Source organism: Homo sapiens, chromosome 7 (assembly GCF_000001405.40).
Source record: "Homo sapiens chromosome 7, GRCh38.p14 Primary Assembly".
In the NCBI taxonomy this organism is placed as follows: Eukaryota; Metazoa; Chordata; class Mammalia; order Primates; family Hominidae; genus Homo; species Homo sapiens.
The window spans coordinates 67,302,598-67,323,430 of record NC_000007.14 but is presented as its reverse complement, the minus strand read 5'-3'; the positions used below and the strand labels follow the sequence as shown (position 1 = coordinate 67,323,430).

Here is a 20,833-nt window from a genome sequence, read left to right as displayed (position 1 = left end):
CCAGTTCGTCAGGAGAAATGTTTATGTTTTTCCTAGCTATGGGGAAGCATGTGTTGAGTAGCTTATTATTTTTATATCAAATAATCATATTAAAATGCCAGTGCATCCTTCCTTTCTAGCATGATATACTTCAAAAAATTATTCTTCACAATGCCTTTAGACATGCACTAATCCAAGAGAAATATGTGAGCCACATATATGATTTTAAATTTCCTAGTATCCACAGTAAAAAGTAAAAAGATATATGTGAAAATAATTTAATGATATATGCATTCTAGTCAATATACCCCCAAATCTTATTATATCAACAGGTGATCGATATAAAACTATGGACGTATTTTATATTATTTAAAAAATAAATCTTCGGGCTGGGCACGGTGGCTCACACCTGTAATCTTAGCACTTTGGGAGGCCAAGGCGGGAGGATCACGAGGTCAGGAGATCAAGACCATCCTGGCTAACACAGTGAAACCCCGTCTCTACTAAAAATACAAAAAAAAAAAAAAAATTAGCCAGGCGTGGTGGCACGTGCCTGTAGTCCCAGCTAGTCAGGAGGCTGAGGCAGGGGAATCACCTGAACCTGGGAGGCGGAGGTTGCAGTGAGCCGAGATTGTGCTACTGCACTCCAGCCTGGGCAACAGAGCGAGACTCCGTCTCAATAAAAATAAAATAAATCTTTGAAGTGCAGTGTGTATTTTACACCAATGGCACAACTCAGTTTGAGAAAGTTACATTTCAAGTACTCAATAGCCACATGTGGTCAGGGGCTACTGTATTGCAGTGTGGCCTTCCACAATGCGGCAAGTGGTGCAACGGTAGGAGGGCACCTCCTGATTGTTAAAATATTCTTGTGATACTTGCAGTCTTGAGATTCCTCAGCTACAATTACCATCAGGAACCATGAAAGGAAATTTCTTCAGTGTTCTTCATACTGAATGGCCATTAATTCAGAAGTTATAATTTTTTTATGTCACCAAACTAACTTGATGAGATGAACAAACAGATTGCTGTTTTTAAGAAAGTGAGTAACTTACTCTGAAAACCTCTGGACCTTTACTTTCAATGCCTTCATCACTAGTGAATTCACTAATTTATGTAATCAGGGAAATTCTCTTGAACTATTTTTAATGGCACCTACTTCCTTAAGACTTCCATGATTTCACCTGCTTTCTTTCCCGAGGCTTCAAAGGGAATCAGTTTGTAATTTTTCAGTGATATTCATGACTTTGTGCTTGGCATGCAGTTACTTGTTAATTTCTTTTTTAGCTTCTTGTTGAGAACTGAGACTTGTTGGCTGTCCTCCTCCCTTTTAGTGCCTTGCATGGTGTAAAGTGTAGTCAGTAACGTTTGTTGAATGCACATGTATGTACCTTCTCTGATTTAAGGTCTGGAAGGCAGGACATGGTTTTCTTTTTTAATATATCCTTTCATATATTTTTAGCTGCTAGCATAGTTTGGTTTATTCAGTTGGTGCTTAATAAATTCTTGCCAGCTGGACTCATAACTTATAAGTAGCCTCCCAAGTCTTAGTCCGCAACTATGTTCATCAAGTTGTTAAATTACATATTTGAAAAAAAATCACCATTTTCATTTAGAGGAACAAATACAAACAAATATATCTACCAACCTACCTTGATGGTTCTATGAAACCTAACTGACTCTATGAAAAAAACGAAAAAGTTAACTAAGAGTGTACTACTACTTTTAGTTAAATGCCAATGAAGTATAATATATAGTTGTCAGAAGAAAAAACATAAGTATTGTTGTAGTTCATAAACATTATGATAAAATAATTTAGTTCATGATATTTGAATCATTCAATTCTTTCATTCAACAAACTGACCACCTATTATGATTAACACATTGTGTTGGGCACAGGGGATAAAAAAAGATAAGTTTGACCCTCAAGTTGCTCACATTTTAGTTGGAAAGTCAGATCATGCCAAAGAATTCTCTAAAACATTTGTAAGTTTAGAGCAAGCTACTAATGGGAGAAAGGCTCAGTGAAGTCTACTTTTTATTATGTTTTCCTTATATGGTGTCAGCTAATAAGTATTTGGGGAATAAATGTGTAGATAGTGGTCTGTTTAAAAGAAGTTACATTATTTGGCATTTATTACATTTTATTTTTCTTAATTGATTAATTGCAGTTAAATTACCTTAGCATGCAAGAGCAGATTTTACAGATTTTGACGTATGATTAAGCAGCATAAAGCATAACTAATGTGGTTTTAGTGGCATGCTATGTATTAAGGCATGAAATTTAAATACACACTTCATCAAGATTTTTTTGCAGTTACAGTGAATTAGAAAGATTCAGATATTGGAACTCCCTCCAACTCCTGTGTTAGGGAGAGGCAGGAATTTTATAATTGAGATTATTATAGAAGAGTGTCCTGACATAACTGATTGACTTTAGTGATGTGCCTTGAAAGTTCAAATTCAAGGTGTGCACTTATTTCAGTCAGCTTGTCCTGAATGTTTAAATAAGAAATACTCTTTCTGGGTATTCTGAATAACTCGTTGTACATTTATTCCTAATAGTGAGCATTTGGACTAATGATGGATTACTAATGAGCATGTAAACGTACCACCTGATTACATTAATATATGATCTTCCATGACGAGGTCTGAAATGAACATTTCTAATATGTATTTCTTTTCCCCAAATGGCACTGTGGTGTATACTGAGCGGGACTGAGATGAGGGTGTTTTTAAGAGCCACTGATTTAGTCAATTATCAAAAATCACATTATAATAAATGCTGTTCTAAGAATTTTGATAAACCTTTAAATAAATGTTACTTTGGAGAAAAAAAAATCTGCCAAATGCGTTAATGATAAATTGTGAAGTGGTAGTAATTGCAAGTATGGCTTTATAGATAATATAGTTAATTGATACCACCCTCTCAAGCATATACAGCACATCAGCTGCTATGAGCCTACGTGATAGTAATGGTGTCTATGGCATTTATGATGCATTGAGGATGACATGAGTAAAATGAAAACTTAGAGCACTCACCAGGGTCATTCTTTCATGGACATCTGTTGCCCATGGTCAAGTAAATTTTTAATGACACATAGTCACTACACACCTTTCAGCCTTCTGGAGAGGTAAGTGTACATTGATCTGTCCTAATTAGCCTTGCAGAGTACTTCAGACATCCCTGCAGGAACACTATTATTTAATAAAATAGAAGCTGTTTTTTCACAAGCTCAGCACTTGCTCCTTGGATAGCTGTATTGTTTTTTTGCTCTTCTCTCCTTTTAAAACTCATATCGCATGTCTCATGTTCGTCTTTGTCTTTGACAATGTAGTATTAATGCAGCTGCATGAAAAAGTAAGCAAAATTAAGGAATGAGTCTGATTATGAAGGTTCATTGCTATTCTAAGAACCCGTAGAGCACACATCCATTCCTTCCCTAATGACCCCCAAAAAAGGCAGCTTGACCCAGGAAAGTAACCCTTTTAAATTGTGGCATCTGGGCTGGGCGCCATGGCTCACACCTGTAATCCCAGCACTTTGGGAGGCTGAGGCAGGCAGGTCACTTGAGGTCAGGAGTTCAAGACCAAGCTGGCCAACATGAGACTTTGTCTCTTCTAAAAATACAAAAATTAGCCAGGCGCGGTGGCTCATGCCTGTAGTCCCAGCTACTTGGGAGGCTGAGACAGGAGAATCACTTGAACCCAAGAGGCAGAGGTTGCAGTGAGCCGAGATTGTGCCACTGCACTCAAGCCTGCGCTACAGGGTAGGACTCCTTCTTAAAAAAAAAAAAAAAAGGTGGAGTCTGGGCTATAGGGCCCAAGGTTCTGAATTTCTAACAAGCTCCCGATAATGCCCAAGCTCCTGGTCCATGGGCCACACTTTCAGTAGCAGGGTTCCAATAGTATTTCCTGGCCGAAGCCAGTGGCTCATGCCTATAATCCCAGCACTTTCGAAGGCAGCAGGTAGATCACCTGAGGTCAGGAGATTGAGACCAGCCTGGCTAACATGGTGAAACGCCATCTCTACTAAAAATACAAAAATCAGCTGGGCATGGTGGCACACACCTGTAATCCCAGCTACTTGGGAGTCTGAGGCAGGAGAATCGCTTGAACCCGGGAGGGGGAGGTTGCAGTGAGCTGTGATTGCACCACTGCACTTCAGCCTGGGTGACAGAGCAAGACCCTGTCTCAAAAAAATATAAAATACTGGCTGGGTGCAGTGGCTCATGCCTGTAATCCCAGCACTTTGGGAGGCCAAGAGGGTGGATCACCTGAGGTCAGGAGTTCAAGACCAGCCTGGCCAACATGGGGAAACCCTGTCTCTACTAAAAATGCAAAAATTAGCCAGGCATGGTGGCAGGCACCTGTAATCCCAGGTACTCAGGAGGCTGTGGCAGGAGAATCGCTTGAACCCAGAAGGCGGAGGTTGCAGTGAGCTGAGATCACACCACTGTACTCCAGCCTGGGCAACAAAAGGGAAACTCTGTCTCAAAAAAAAAAAAAAAAAAAGATGTCTATTTATTCAAATGAGGAATGCACATATACAAAATTCCAAAGGTACAAAAGAGTAAGCTGTTAGAATTTCATGTTTCTCTCCTGTCTCGCAGCCACGTTGGTTTGTTCTCCTGAGGGAAGAGCTGTTTCCAATTTCTTGTGTGCATTCTCTGAAACGGTTATGCATATACATTCACATCTGGGTGTATACAATTTTTTTTTTTTTTGAGACGGAGTCTCGCTCTGTCACCCAGGCTGGAGTGCAGTGGCATGATCTCGGCTCACTGCAAGCTCCACCTCCCGGGTTCACGCCATTCTCCTGCCTCAGCCTCCTGAGTAGCTGGGACTACAGACACCCACCACCACGCCCGGCTAATTTTTTGTATTTTTAGTAAAGACGGGGTTTCACCGTGTTAGCCAGGATGGTCTCGATCTCCTGACCTCGTGATCCGCCCACCTCGGCCTCCCAGAGTGCTGGGATTACAGGGGTGAGCCACCGTGCCTGGCCATATAATTATTTTTACACAAACTGTATGCCATTTACACTGTTCAGCACCTCACTTTTCTCACTAATGATATATCTTGGAGATTGGCCTCTGTGGGTGCAGGAAGGCTTCCTCACTTTTCATGGCTGCAGAGTCTATGGTACGGAGGTCCACAGTTTTATTTCATTTATTTATTTATTTAATTTTGAGACAGGGTCTCACTCTGTCACCCAGGCTGGAGTGCAGAGGCACCATCTCGGCTCACTGCAACCTCCCAGGTTCAAGCTATCCCCCTGCCTCAGCCTCCCTAGTAGCTGGGATTACAGGTGCCCACCACCAAGCCTGCCTAATTTTTGTATTTTTAGTAGAGACGGGGTTTTACCATGTTGGCCAGGCTGGTCTTGGACTCCTGAGCTCAAGTGATCCGCCCACCTCGGCCTCCCAAAGAGCTGGGATTACAGGCGTGAGCACCATGCCCACCCATGCCTCCTCTTTTTTTAAGAGAGAGAGTCTCACTCTGTCACCCAGGCTGGAGTGCAGTGGTGCAATCATAACTCACTGCATCCTCGAACTCCTGGGCTCAAACAATCCTCCTGCCTCAGCCTCCTGAATAGCTGAAACTACATGTGAATGCCACCACACCCAGCTAATTTTTTGTTTGTAGAGATGTAGAGACAAGGATCTTGCTATGTTGCTCAAGCTGGTCTTGAACACCTGACTTCCAGCCCTCCTCCTGCCTCAGCCTCCCAAACTGCTGGGATTACCAGAGTGAGCCACCTCGCCCAGCCTCCAGACCTTTTTGAATTCCAGAATTGAAAAGCAATTTTAGATCTATAATATGGTTTTTAGAAGATTGCTGAGGGCCTTGATAAGAAACAACAGTGGGGAGAGGAGAGCTTGAACTAACACTTACTGGAAGAAGACAAAGAAATCCTAGGCTGGGCACAGTGGCTCAGGCCTGTAAACCCTGCAGTTTTGGAGGCCGAGGCAGGCAGATCACTTGAAGTCAAGAGTTTGAGACCAGCCTGGCCAACATGGTGAAACTCCATCTCTCCTAAAAATACAAAATTATCCAGGTACAGTGGCACGTGTCTGTAGTCAGGAGGCTGAGGCAGGAGAATTGCTTGAAACGAAGAGGCGGAGGTTGCAGTGAGCCAAGATCATGCCACTGCACTCCAGCCTGGGTGACAGAATGGCATTTTGGTATTTTAGATACCAAAAAAAACCATTAAAAATTAAAAATAAAAACATAAAAATCTGCCCAGAGGCCAGGTGTGGTGGGTACACCGGTAATCCCAGCATTTGGGGAGGCCAAGGCAGGAGAATCACTTGAGCCCAGGAGTTGGAGACCAGTCTAGGCAACATTGCGAAACCTCATCTCTACAAAAAATACAAAAGTTAGCCAGGCATGGTGGCAGGCACCTGTAGTCCCAGTTACTCAGGAGGCTGAAGTGGGAGGGTGCTTTGAGCCCAGGAAGCAGAGGTTGCAGTGAGCCGAGATCTCGCCACTGCACTCCAACCTGGGCAAGAGAGCCAGACTTCATCTCAAAAATAAATGAATACATACTAAAATAAATAAAATGTATTTTTAAAATGCCTAGAACATTCTGTTCTTCTTTTTTTTTTTTTTTTTTGAGACGGAGTCTTGCTCCGTCACCCAGGCTGGAGTGCAGTGGTACAATCTCAGCTCACTGCAACCTCTGCCTCCCAGGTTCAAGCGATACTCCTGCCTCAGCCTCCTGAGTAGCTGGGATTACAGGCGCCTGCCACCATGCCCAGCTGTTTTTTGTATTTTTAGTGGAGCTAGGGTTTCACCATGTTGATCAGGCTGGTCTCAAACTCCTGACCTCGTGATCCACCTGCCTCGGACTTCCAAAGTCCTGGGATTACAGGTGTTGCGCCACCGCACCTGGCCGGGTTTTGTTTTCTCATTTCTGTTGTGTTTGTTTTGTTTTGTTTTTTCGAGATGGAGTCTCACTCTACTGCCCAGGCTGGAGTCAGTGGTTCAATCTCAGCTCACTGCAACCTCCAACTCCCGGGTTCAAGCAATTCTCCTGCCTCAGCCTCCCGAGTAGCTGAGATTACAGTCGCTCACTACCATGCCCTGCTAATTTTTGTATTTTTAGTACAGACAGGGTTTCACGATGTTGACCAGGCTGGTCTCAAATTTCTGACCTCAGACGATCCACCTGCCTCTGCCTCCCTAAGTGCTGTAATTACAGGCATGAGCCACTGTGCCTGGTCTGTTTTTGTTTGTTTGTTTGTCTTTTGAGACAGAGTCTAGTTGCCCAGGCTGGAGTGCAATGGCGTGATCTCGGCTCACTGCAACCTCTGCTTCCCCGGTTCGAGATTCTTCTACCTCAGCCCCCTAAGTAGCTGGGATTATTGGTGCATGCCACAACACCCAGCTAATTTTTTTTTTGTATTTTTAGTAGAGATGGAGTTTTCACCATGTTGGCCAGGCTGGTCTCAAGCTCCTGACCTCAAGTGATCTGCCTGTCTTGGCCTCCCAAAGTCCTTGGATTACAGGCATGAGCCATCATGCCTGGCCAGCAGGCAAGACATAGGGTTTATTAAGGGGACTTACAGGGTAGTCCAGACATGGCAGGTGGAACAGGAGAATCACACCTGCTTACAAAAAGCATGCAGTTGGGCCGGGCGTGGTGGCTCACGCCTGTAATCCCAGCACTTTGGGAGGCCAAGGTGGGCGGATCACAAGGTCAGATTGAGACCATCCTGGCTAACATGGTGAAACCCCGTCATCTCTACTAAAAATACAAAAAATTAGCCAGGCGTGGTGGGAGGTGCCTGTAGTCCCAGCTACTCGGGAGGCTGAGGCAGGAGAATGGTGTGAACCCAGGCGGCAGAGCTTGCAGTGAGCCGAGATTGTGCCACTGCACTCCAGCCTGGGTGACAGAGCAAGACTCTGTCTCAAAAAAAAAAAAAAAAAAAAAGCATGCAGTTTATAGAGCATTTCCACTTAGCACCCTCCCCCTAGCACCCTCCCTCTGGCAAACCTTCACTGAACCCCAAACAAAGGCCACCATCCCCTAGATGGTCCAGGGGTTCAGATGTTCCTCACAGATAAGAAATGAATCTCTGGGTTGGCCACTCCTGGATTCCTTAGCTTAGAATTTTCAACACATACTCTTCTTAAGACCATGGGGTCATTTTCAAGGTATGCTGATGTTACTGTTGTCAGATGTGTTTGCCATGCATCATAGCTAACCACTAGGAAGTTCTATAAGTGAGGCAAGGCCTTAAGAACATACTCTGAGCTAGAAGTGTCAAGTTGGAGGCCCTCGACATTAGAAGCCAGAGACTGGGTACACCCCACATAGTGAGAGAAGGTGAGGGATGTGGGGATGTGTCAGCTATATCCATTGCTACCCAGCAAACCATTCCAAGTCTTAGTGGAGAAAAATAACTTTTTTTTTTTTTTTTTTTTTTTGTCAGAGGCAGGTTCTCATTCTGTCACCCAGGCTGGAGTGCAATGGTGCAAACACGGCTTACTGCAGCCTCAACCTCCTGGGCTCAAGTGATCCCCCCCACCTCAGCCTCCCAAGTAGCTGCAACTACAGGCATGCATCACCATGCCCCAGTAATTTTTGTATTTTTTTGTAGAGAAGGGGTTTTGCCATGTTGCCCAGTCTGGTCTTGAAGTCCTGACCTCAAGGTCTCCACCCGCCTTGGCCTCCCAAAATGCTGGGATTACAGGCATGGGCCATCACACCCAGCCTGATGTTACTACTATAACTGTTTTGGGGTACCACGAACCATGCCCATATAAGATGGCAAACTTAACAAATGTTGTCTGTGTTCTGACTACCCTACCAACAAGCTTCCCTGTCTCTGTCTCTCTCCTCAGGCCTCCCTATTCATTCCTTGAGACATAAAAGTATTGTAATTAGGTCAATTAATAACCCTCTTAAGTATCCAAATGAAAGGAAGAGTCATATGTTTCTCATTTTAAATCAAAAGCTAGAAATGATTAAGCTTAGAGGCCAGGCGTGGTGGCTCATACCTATATTCTCAGCACTTTAGGTGGCCGAGGTGGCAAATCACTTGAGGTCAGTTTGAGACCAGCCTGGCCAACATGGCGAAACCCTGTCTTTACTAAAAACAGAAAATTAGCCGGGCACGGTGGCAGGCACCTATAATCCCAGCTACTCAGGAGGCTGAGGCAGGAGAATCGCTTGAACCTGGGAGGCGGAGGTTGCAGTGAGCCGAGATCACGCCATTGCACTCTAGCCTGGGCAACAAAGCGAGACACTATCTCAAAAAGACAAAAAAAAAAAAAAAAAAAAAGAAATGATTAAGCTTAGTTGAAAGCCAAGACAGGCCAATCAATAGCTAGGCCTCTTGTGCCAAACAGCCAAGTTGTGAATGCAAAAGAAAAATTCTTGAAAGAAATTAAAAACGCTACTCCAGTGAACACACAAAGGGTAAGAAAGTTAAACAGTCTTATTGCTGATATAGAGACAGTTTTAGTAGTCGGAACAGAAGATCAAACCAGCCACAACATTCCCTTCGGCCAAAGCCCAATCCAGATCAACATCCTAGCTGTCTTCCATTCTATGAAGGCTGAGCAAAGTAAGGAAGCCACAGAAGAAAAGTTTGAAGCTAGAAGTTAGTTCATGAGGTTTAAGAAAAGAAGCCCTCTCCATAACATAAAAGTACAAGGTGAAGCAGCAAATACTGATAGAGAAGCAACAAGTTATCAAGAAAATCTAGCTAAGATCATTGATGAAGGTGGCTACACTAAACAATGAATTTTCAGTGTGGACTAAACTGCCTTATATTGGAAAATGCCACCTAGGACTTTCACAGCTATTGAGGAGAAGTCAATGCCTGGCTTCAAAGCGTCAAAGGACAGCCTGACTCCTTGTTAGGGGCTAATGCAGTTGGTGACTTTATGTTGAAGCCAATACTCATTTACCATTTTAAAAATCCTAAGGCTCTTAAGAATTATGCTAAATCTACTCTGCCTATGCTCTATAAATGAAACAACAAAGCTTAATGATATCACATCTGTTCACAGCATGGTTTCCTGAATATTTTAAGCACATGGGTGAGACCTACTGCTCAGAAAACAAGATTCCTTTCAAAATATTACTGCTCAGTGATAAGGCACCTGGTCACCCACGAGCTCTGGTGAGGATGTACAAGGAGATCCATGTTGCTTTTTTCATGCCCACTAACACAACATCCATTTTGCAGCCCATGGAACAAGGAGTAATTTCAACTTTCAAGTCTTATTATTTCAGAAATATATTTCATAAGGCTATAGCTGCCACAGTGATTTCTCTGATGATTTGGGCAAAGTCCATCTAAAACCTCCTGGGGTTAGGCATGGTGGCTCATGCCTACAATCCCAACTTTTTGGGAGGCTGAGGTGGGAGGACTGATTAAGCCCAGGAGTTCAAGACTAGCCTGGGCAGCATAGTGAGACCCTGCCTCTACAGAAACAAAACAAAAACTAGCCAGGTGTGGTATGCAATCTGTAGTCCCAGATACTTGGGAGGATAAGGCAGGAACATCACTCAAGCACAGGAGGTTGAGGCTGCGGTGAGCCATGACTGCACCAGTGCATTCCGGTCTAGGCAAGAGAGCGAGACCCTGTCTTCAAAACAAAATACAAAAACCAGAAAAAGCCAACCCCCCATCTGGGAAGGATTCTTCATTTCATCTCATTTCATTATTTCATTTCATTTCATTTCATTTATTTATTTATTTCATTTCATTTCATTTCATCATTCCATTTCATTTCATTTCTTCCTTTCTTTTCTTTTCTCTTCTCTTCTTTTCTTTTTGAGATGGAGTCTTGCTCTGTAGCGCAGGCTAGAGTGTAGTGGTGTGATCTTGGCTCACTGCAACCTCTGCCTCCTGGGTTCAAGCAATTCTCCTGCTTCAGCCTCCCAAGTAGGTGGGATTACAAACATGCACCACCACACCTGGCTAATTTTTGTATTTTTAGTAGAGATGGGTTTTTGCCATGTTGGTCAGGCTGGTCTCAAACTCCTGACCTCACGTGATCCACCTACCTCAGCCTCCCAAAGTGCTGGGATTACAGGTTTGAGCCACTGTGCCTGGCTGGGATTCACCATTTTAAATGCCATAAAGAACATTTGTGGTTCATGGGAGGAGGTCGAAATATCAACATTAACAAGACTTAAGTTGATTCTAACCCTCACGGATGACTTTGAGAGGTTTAAGACTTCAGTAGAGGAAGTAACTACAGATGCAGTGGAAACAGCAAGAGAACTAGAAGTAGAAACTGAAGATGTGGCTGAATTGCTGCAACTTCATGACCTTGAACAAATAAGGAATTGCTTCTTACGGATGAGCAAGGAAAGTGGTTTCCTCAAATGGAATCTATTCCTGGTGAAGAGGTTGTGAATATTGTTGAAATGACAACAAATGATTCAGACTATGACCTAAACTTAGCTGATAAAGCAGCACCAGGGCTTGAGAGAATTGACTCTTGTTTTGAAAGAATTTCTATTGTGGGTAAAATGTCATCAAACAGCATTTCATGTTACAGAGAAATCTTTTGTAAAAGGAAGAGTCAACAGATGCAGCAAACTTCACTGTTGTCTTACTTTAAGAAATTGCTACAGCCACCCTAACCTTCAGCAACCACTACCCTGATTAGTCAGCAGCCATCAACATGGAAGCAAGACCCTCTACCAACAAAAAGATGTAACTCGCTAAAGGTTCAGATTGCCATTAGCATTTTTTAGCAATAAAATATTTTTAAATTAAGGTACATACATGTTTTTTAGACAATAGTCTTGCACACTTAAGAGACTACAGTGTAAACATTACTTTCATATGCACTGAGAAATAAAAATTTTGATTTTTTGACTGTGTGACTCACTGTACTTCAATATTCACTTTATTGTGGTGATCTGGAACTGAACCTGCAAGATCTTCCAGGTATGATGCCCGTATATGTTTCTAACAATTTGGAAAACAAATTTTTAGTAAGTGCAGTTTGTTTAATAGTAGTGGAACCAGCAAAAATAAGAAGAAAGGAATTAGATCAGTGGTTCTCAACTGAGGCTAATTCTGTTCCCCAGGGGAGATTTAGCAGTGTCTAAAGATTTTTTTGGCTACCTGAACTTGGTGGGGGAGCAGGGTACTACTGGTATCTATCTAGTAGATAAAGGCCAGAGATGCTGCTAAACATCCCACCACGGCAGGACAGCCCCGCAATGTCCGTAGTGCCATTGTTGAAAAATCCTGGATCACATGAACAATAGACACCAAAGAACCAGAATTATAAGGAGAAAGGGAACATTCTTTAAGACAACAGACCCCACCTCTTCAATTATGTAAGAACAACATATCATTTTCGACAAGACATACTTAAGTCTTTACGGCTGAAGTACCTATATGTCCATATTTTACAGTAACATAGCAAAAACAGGTGAAGCAAATATGTGAAATATTTGGGAAAGGGAGACTGAGAAAAGGCTACTGGCTTTAGGAATTAGGAAGTCATTGGTTTGGAAAGAACAGTTTCAAAGAAAAATGGGAAAATAAGCTAGGTAGCAAAAAGGATTCAGTTAGTTGGACATTAAGGAAGTAAGGAAATACTACCCTAAAAGGAAGGATGGAAAAAAAGAGTAATTCACAGAGGAGCAGAGTCAAATAAAGATTCAAGAGCCTATATACATTTATAAGTGGAGAGAAGAAAATAGTGGGGAGGAAGAAATTAAGGATAAAATGGGGGAATTACAATGATAATTGACTAAGCAAGAGCCCAGAGAAGCCAAAAAAAAAAGAAAGAATAAGAAAAATAAAAGAAAGATTCACAGTGTACATAATTTAAAATCCAGGATAGATTAATACACATAAGCTTTTAAGATCAAACTGACAATTAAAAATAACAAAAGAGAATGAGAGAAGTAGAAAGTTTCCTTCTCTAATGATTTAGAATGGAAGAGACCTTTTGTGAGGGCTAGAGAAATAGCCAAATGATATGGTCAGACATGGTGAGTCCTGCCAACCTCATAGGAGGGGTCTCAGACACTAACAGAAAGTAAGGAGAAAAACAGTAGTGTTACTCTTATGACAGACCCAGCTGATTAAAGATTTCATCAGTGTCAAAGATTTTGCTATGGCTTATGCCCTCCAGTGGTCATCTTTAAGTTTAAAAGGAAACAAAACTACTATGTGCCAAGTGAGGCAATTTACTCATCATCTCATTTATTCTTCACAAAAAGGTGAGATTATCCCTTTCTTTAAAGAAAAGAAAACTGAAGAGAGGTTACATAAGGCTATGGAGCTAGTGACTAAATGGAACAGAATTTAAAGCCAGGAGTTCACTGGAAGGCCTGTGCTCTTTCCATTCCTTGAAAATTTGGCCTCCCTTGTCAATGGTTGGCTTTTAGTACTCCTGCGGTCACTTGCACACTGCACACTTGACGAGTAGGTCAAAACTTAATTCCTTGCATGACAGGCAGGTACAGCACTTAAACTCTTCTGACAATAAGTGCTGACAAAGAAAAACTGAGCAAAAGTGGAATTCGAGAGAACTCTAAATTACACATTATTTGTTGAGCCCACAACCCAGAAAAAAGGTGAGCATTGCAATGAGCCCTTACAGGATGGGTCTATGAAACTATTGCCAGACTCCGTTATTCATGATCTTGAAAGACTGCCCAGGGCCTGATAAGGGGGTCTGTGGCAGAAGTGGGTGCAAGTTGGGAAAAAGGGAAGGAAGAAGCAGGGAACACTCCTCACCTCTTTGTGTTTCTCCAACAGGCTCTCCAGCCGCTCAGGTGCCCTCTGCCCTGGCCCCTTGTTTCTTTCAGCCTCATACTGACGCTGATTGATATCTTCGTGCAGACTCAGTTGGAGGGCAACTCTTACCAGGGAGGTCATCAGTTTCATAGCTTTGAGTAAGGAAAAAGAGATAAAGAAATCATTACTGAGGTCAGAGGAGAGAGGATGAGTAGAAGGAAAAATAGAAGGAAAGAAGGGCAATAAAAATGAGAAGCCAGAGGTAGGTGACCCTAAAATCCTGACTGCCTGTCCTGGAGTGGACTGTTTCCCTCTAACCCTTGTGGTCTTCTTTTAACCATCAGCATACCCTAGTGGTGAGCTCTGACAAAAATACTAAGCCTGGAAATTGTTGCTGTGATCTACCCCTTCTCAAAACTCCACCAGTGAGAAACTGGATTGAAGTTTAGGATAAAAGAGGCATGGCCTTGAAGTGAAGAGCCAAGACACAGGTAGGAAAGAAGACCCTGAATCAGAGAACAGAGGAAAGTCCTATAAATCCCCAGAAGAATGTCCGGAATGAAAATGAATGCTCACCAGCCAGGGTGCTAGTGTGACAGAAGGCGCAGACTTGTGAGTCTGAGAAGCCAGTGAGCAGGGAGATGAGGTTGTCCATAGGGAAGTCATCATGGAGGAGGATGTACTGGCACCGACAGACCAATGTCCCCACAAACTCACAGAAGCTGCCCTGGAACTTCTTCCAGGATAGACCTGGAGCTGTCAGAGGATAGTCCCCCGAGTCCTACAAAAGGATGTATGAAAAGGATGGGAAAGTTATGACCAGGTATATGAAGTCATAGGGGCTTGGATGTCAAAACCCAACAGTCTAGTAAAAATATCTGTTATGCTTCATTTCCTAGCTGTCTCCCCAGTTTGAGAGGCATATTCAGATCTCTTTTACCCCCAAGAGACTGAACTCCACCTTCTAAAAGCTACCCTATTTCACAGAATCAAAAAGAAGGGGATAATAGGCATTGTGTTTTGAAATAAGAGGGGTAAGAGGATCCTGGTCATCTTCTTCCACCTCATTAAACGCTCTGTTAGGTGCTGGATGATCTCTGAGTTGGACATCTTCTTGAACATCTCAGGGCTCACAGTGCCTAAAGAATGAAGGATATGAGGTGCTTACGAGGAAAATAACAGGATGCTGTGATCATTTACAGATATACCTGAATATGAGCAAGGAAACACTGTGCAAAGAGCTTAGGTGGGGAATCAAAAGACCCCCTGGTCAACGGTCTGCCAACATCCAACTGTGTATCTGCTATAAGGCAATCTCTCTAAAAACCCAAAGGAAGGGAGCCATAGGTTATGGTGTAGACACGGCCAAATCCAAAAACCACACCTCACACAACCAGGCTGAAAATTACACAGAAATGGCATCAAGAAACCCCAATCACAAAGATACAACTCTCTTAAGGGGATGGACCCCAAGTTCCTGAGGAATATGTGCTTTGCCAAGAAGCACAACAAGAAGGGCCTAAAGAAGATGCAGGCTGGCCGGGCGCAGTCGGTCAAGCCTGTAATCCCAGCACTTTGGGAGGCCGAGGCAGGAGAATCACAAGGTCAGGAATTCTAGACCAGCCTGGCCAACATGATGAAACCCAGTTCTCTACTAAAAATGGAAAAAATGAGCTGGGCGTAGTGGCGGGTGCCTGTAATCCCAGCTACTCGGGAGGCTGAGGCAGGAGAATTGCTTCAACCCGGGAGGCAGAGGTTGCAGTGAGCTGAGATCGCACTACTGCACTCCAGCCTGGGCAACAAGTGAGACTCTGTCTCAAAACAAAAAAAGCAAAACAAAAAAAAAAAGAAGATGCAGGGCAACAATGCCAGGGTCATGGGTGTACATGCCGAGGCTATCGAGCCCCTCGTAAAGCCCAAGGACGTTAAGCCCACTTGCCTACACTGCCCACCCCAAGCTTGAGAAGCATGCTTGTGCCCACAATGCCAAGGGGCTCAGACTGTACCAGCCAAAGGCCAAGGATCAAATGAAGGCCCAGGCTGCAGCTCCAGCTTCAGTTCCAGCTCAGGCTCCCAAAGGTGCCCAGGCCTGTACAAAGGCTTCAGAGTAGAGATCTCTGTCTGCCAACGTGAGGACAGAAGGACTGGTGTCCTCCTGCACTATTTGTACAAATAAACCTGAGGCAGGATTTGTTTAAAAAAAAAAAAGGAATCAAGCAGTGAAAAACTGTGCCCCAAAATAAACAACAACAAAACAACAACAACAACAAAACAGGCCAGGCGCGATGGCTAACGCCTGTAATCCCAACACTTTGGGAGGCCGAGGCAGGTGAATCACCTGAGGTCAGGAGTACAAGACCAGCCTGGCGAAACCCCATCTCTACTAAAAATACAAAAATTAGCCACGTAGGCCGGGCGCAGTGGCTCAAGCCTGTAATCCCAGCACTTTGGGAGGGTGAGATGGGCGGATCACGAGGTCAGGAGTTCAAGACCAGCCTGGCCAATATGGTGAAACCCTGTCTCTACTAAAAATACAAAAATTAGCTAGGCATGGTGGTGCACACCTGTAGTCCCAGCTACTCAGGAGGCTGTGGCAGAAGAATCACTTGAACCTGGGATGCGGAGGTTGCGGTGAGCCGAGATTGTGCCACTGGACTCCAGCCTGGGCGACAGAGCCAGACTCCGTCTCAAAGAAAAAAAAAAAAATTAGCCACATATGGTGGCACATGCTTGTAATCCCAGCCACTTGAGAGGCTGAGGCATGAGAATCACTTAAACCCAGGATGTAGAGGTTGCAGTGAGCCCAGATCGTGCCACTGCACTCCAGCCTGGACAATCGAGTGAGATTCTGTCTCAAAAACAAAAACAAAAACAAAACAAAACAAAACAAAAGAGAGTAATAAAACTAAGCCAGACGCTGATTTCTTATATAATACAACCTGACTGAGACCATCTGTCCCAATAAATCAAGCCATGGCAGTAAGAGTTCTGGGGGTACCACAGCTACAGAGGAGAAATATGGGCAAAGTAGCTGGGAAATAAAGAGTAAGAAAATAACAGATTATTGCATCTAGAAAGACTAAAAGGTGTCCTCAAATTTGTGCCATAACATAAGCATGATTACTTCTTTTTCCCCAAAGTTTCTTGTCTCTAAACCAACATGGTTCCCTACTGGATCACTTCCCGTATTTATCAACAAAAAATTTAGTTAAAGAAGTGAAACTTTTCTCTCTCTTTTTTTTTTTTTTGAAGACAGTCTGGCTCTGTCGCCCAGGTTGGAGTGCAGTGGCGCTATCCAGGCTCACTATAACCTCCACCTCCTGGGTTCAAGCAATTCTACAGGCATGAGCCACATACCCAGATAATTTTTTGTATTTTAGTAGGGGTTTCACCATGTTGCCCAGGCTGGTCTTCAACTCCTGACCTCAAGTGATCCACCCGCCTCAGCTTCCCAAAGTGCTGGGATTACAGGTGTGAGTCACAGTGCCCAGCCTAAATAAGTAAAATTTTTCTAATGCTTTACTATCTTCCTTTATTTAGGAAATATCTAATCCTACTTATCTAAATGGAGAAAGAATTCATAACATAGGAACAAAAGGCTGGGAATTAGAAAGGGGGAGCAGTTTCCTCACCTTTACATCCACAAGATCAGATGAAAAAGTTAACAAGCTCCAGAAATCCTGCATCCTGGTCTTGCTTGTAGCTATCCAGCCACTCATCTACCAAAGACTAGTAAAAAAAAAATACAGATGACTTCTACTTCTGGCAATATAACAGAACAGAAATCCTATATGATCTTCCCAGTTGAACCATCTAAACTTCTGTAAAACATTTAAAACATCTTTCACAATGTACTGGTGAACTAGAATGAAAGGTAAAATTTCATATAGTCCAAAAATGAGGTGTAGTAGCAACCCTGGGAGGTAAGCAAACTGACTTTTGCCCTAAAGGTTTCATTAATCCCTGGGGACCCTGACTTTGTATCCAGATGGCTGCATGGAGTGCAGAGCACAGGAGGTAGAGTCTAAGCTTCTTCCAAGACGAGTAGTCCAAGAGGAGGCACCTAAATAAAGCTGGGTCCTGCAAAGAGTCACATCCTCAAGGAAGTGAGATTGAACACTAAACCTATAGGGCAGATGGCGACAGCAAGAAAACTAGCTTGTTATGACCTGAGGGTGCAGTGGAGGGGAAAAAAAATAACTCCTCCTTGAGAATTCATAACCATAGTGAGCGCTCAGATCTGGATTTGCAGTCAAGATTCATACCACATACATGATCAGAATAATCTTTTTTATCTTTTCCTTTTGTTTTTTTTTTTTTTTGAGACAGTCTCACTCTGTAGCCCAAGCTAGAGCGCAATGGCGAGATCTCAGCTCACTACAACCTCCACCTCCCAGGTTCAAGCATTCTCCTGCTTCAGCCTCCCGAGTAGCTGGGATTACAGGTATGTGCCACCACGCCTGGCTAATGGCTAATTTTTGTATTTTTAGTAGACACAGGGTTTCACCATATTGGCCAGGCTGGTCTCGAACTCCTGACCTCAAGTGAGGCCCACCTTAGCCTCCCAAAGTGCTTGGATTATAGGCATGAGCCACCACACCCAGCCCAGAATAATCATTCAGATAATTAAAAGTGATTCAGGCTGGGAGCAGTAACCCAAGTAAAGTGAAACTCATGTTGCCCAGGCTGGTCTACCAAAAACAGAATAATTAGTCAGGCATGGTGGCACATGCCTATAGTCCCAGCTATGCGAGAAGCTGAGGTGGGAGGGTCACCACCTTGCCACTGAGGGAGGTCAAATCAGCAGGGAGCCGTGATAGCACCACTGCACTCCAGCCTAGAAAGAATGAGAACCTGTCTCAAAAAAAAAAAAAAAAGAAAAGAAAAGTGATTCTGGAGTGTCCCCAGGCAACTGTCAAAGCAACAGCACGTTCCTCTCTTGAAAACCCACCTTTGGGGCCAGGCGCGGTGGCTCACACCTGTAATCCCAGCACTTTGGGAGGCCGAGGCAGGCGGATCATGAGGTCAGGAGATCGAGACCATCCTGGCTAACATGGTGAAACCCCATCTCTACTAAAAATACAAAAATTTAGCCAGCATGGTTGCAGGTGCCTGTAGTCCCAGCTATTCGGGAGGCTGAGGCAGGAGAATGGCCTGAACCCGGGAGGCGGAGCTTGCAGTGAGCAGAGATCACACCACTGCACTCCAGCCTGGGTGACAGAGCGAGACTCGGTCTCAAAAAAAAAAAAACCCACCTTTGACCTAGGCCCCAAAGAACTCCAGGGAAAATGAGTGGCTCACAATAAACCTAGTAAAACATATAAAGAAACAAGGCACTGACAAAATTATTTCACAAACACTTTAGATAATCATCTATCATAGATTATAAAATGACTATGTTTAATAAAATTTTAAAAATAAAACAGGGAGAGAATGGGCTCAAAAAAAGAAATAAAAGGCCAGGCATGGTGGCTCGCACCTGTAATCCCAGCACTTTGGAAGGCTGAGGCGGGTGGATCATGAGGTCAAGAGATCAAGACCATCCTGGCCAAAATGGTGAAACCCCGTCTCTGCTAAAAATACAAAAATTAGTTGGGTGTGGTGGCGTGCACCTGTAATCCAAGCTACTCAGGAGGCTGAGATGGGAGAACTGCTTGAACCCGGGAGGCAGAGGTTGCAGTGAGCCGAGCTCACACCACTGCACTCCAGCCTGGGTGACACAGTGAAACTCCGTCTGAAAAAAACAACAAAAAAAAAAACAAATAAAAACCCAGACTATATTGTTTAGGGATACTTAGGTGACAAAATAATAGACACAAATAGAACATAATTACCATAAAAATCAGGACCTTGAGGGGGTTGGGGGGAAGGTTTAAGTGGAAAGAATGGAGCGGTGACAATGTGTGTCAACCTGGGAGGTGGTGACCCTGGAGTTCGCTTTGTAATTCCTCAAAATGAGCATTTATGTGCTATTCACTTTTCACAGGGCAGAATCTCTGAACTAACATGTTTAAGCAGCCATATAAAAAAAAAATTATTCTCAAAATGTCTCAAAAAAACAAAAATGTTATATATATACGTATAAAAGAAATATATACACATACGTATATATCTATACATATACGTGTGTATATATATGTATATATACATACACGTGTACATATATATATATATATATATATATATATATATATATTTTTTTTTTCCTAGTCGGGCGCGGTGGTTCACGCCTGGTATCTCAGCGCTTTGGGAGACCGAGGCGAGAGGATTGCTTGAGCCCTGAGAGTCTGAGACCAGCGTGAGCAACATAGTGAGACCCTTGTCTCTATTTTTTTTTTTTTTTTTTGAGTCGGAGTCTAGCTCTGTCGCCCAGGCTCGAGTGCAATGGCTCGATCTCAGCTCACTGCAAACTCCGCCTCCAGGGTTCAAACGATTCTCCTGCCTCAGCCTCCCGAGTGGCTGGGATTACAGGCGCCCGCCACACGCCCGGCTGATTTTTGTATTTTTAGTAGAGACGAGGCTTCAACGTGTTGGTCAGGTTGGTCTCGAACTCCTGACCTCAGGTGACCTGCCTGCTTGGGCCTCCCAAAGTGCTGGGATTACAGGCGTGAGCCACGGCGCCCGGCCTGAATAAATCTTTTAAAACATAAAGGTTTGGGTGAGTCCCTGGCCGGCCGGCACAAATGCCGGGGTGGGACCGCGAACCGGGTGGGACCGCAAACCGGGTGGGACACACTCGTTCCGGCCCGGGGGGACTCGGGCCAGCAGCCGGCCGCCGCGCGTGCGCACTTGGCGCGGGGTGGGGGGGAAGGAGGGGCCCGCGCTCCTACCTGTAGGTGGCCAACGCCGGGCGCTGGGCCGCCGCTCCTGCCTTGCACGTTAGAGAGCCGGTACATGCAGGTGGGAAGCTCCACACGGAGAGGCGCGCCGCGCCCGTGATAAGGTTTTACCTGGTACATCGGCATGGCGGAACCAAAGCAAGAGAGGGTGGCGCGTGCCAAACACCAACGCTCAGAAACCGTCCGAGGCTACGACTGGGGGCGGACATCTCCCTTGTGACCCTGCTGCGGTCGTTCGGGAAAAAAAAAAAAAGCAGTCCGGTGTGCTCTGATTGGCCC

General features: G+C 44.0%; 1 pseudogene across 2 annotated transcripts, besides 2 other annotated features; it reads right to left on the bottom strand.

Moving 5' to 3' along the window:
• Positions 1 to 1,904: 1,904 nt before the first annotated feature.
• On the bottom strand, positions 1,905 to 20,793 carry STAG3L4 (STAG3 cohesin complex component like 4 (pseudogene); annotated as a pseudogene). 2 transcript variants are annotated; one of them, NR_040585.1, is made up of 6 exons: positions 20,546 to 20,793; positions 17,348 to 17,444; positions 14,779 to 14,854; positions 14,292 to 14,496; positions 13,716 to 13,867; positions 1,905 to 3,328 (listed from the first exon to the last, which is right to left on the bottom strand). The product of NR_040585.1 is annotated as an STAG3 cohesin complex component like 4 (pseudogene), transcript variant 1 (transcript). The 2 variants fall into 2 exon arrangements; NR_040586.1 differs by lacking the exon at positions 14,779 to 14,854.
• Positions 20,401 to 20,580: a silencer, noted in NCBI's record as "silent region_18220". NCBI's record gives its function as "represses an Ori minimal core promoter by ATAC-STARR-seq in GM12878 lymphoblastoid cells {active_cell/tissue: GM12878}" and the evidence as "EXISTENCE:reporter gene assay evidence [ECO:0000049][PMID:35858748]".
• Positions 20,761 to 20,810: an enhancer, noted in NCBI's record as "active region_26092". NCBI's record gives its function as "activates an Ori minimal core promoter by ATAC-STARR-seq in GM12878 lymphoblastoid cells {active_cell/tissue: GM12878}" and the evidence as "EXISTENCE:reporter gene assay evidence [ECO:0000049][PMID:35858748]".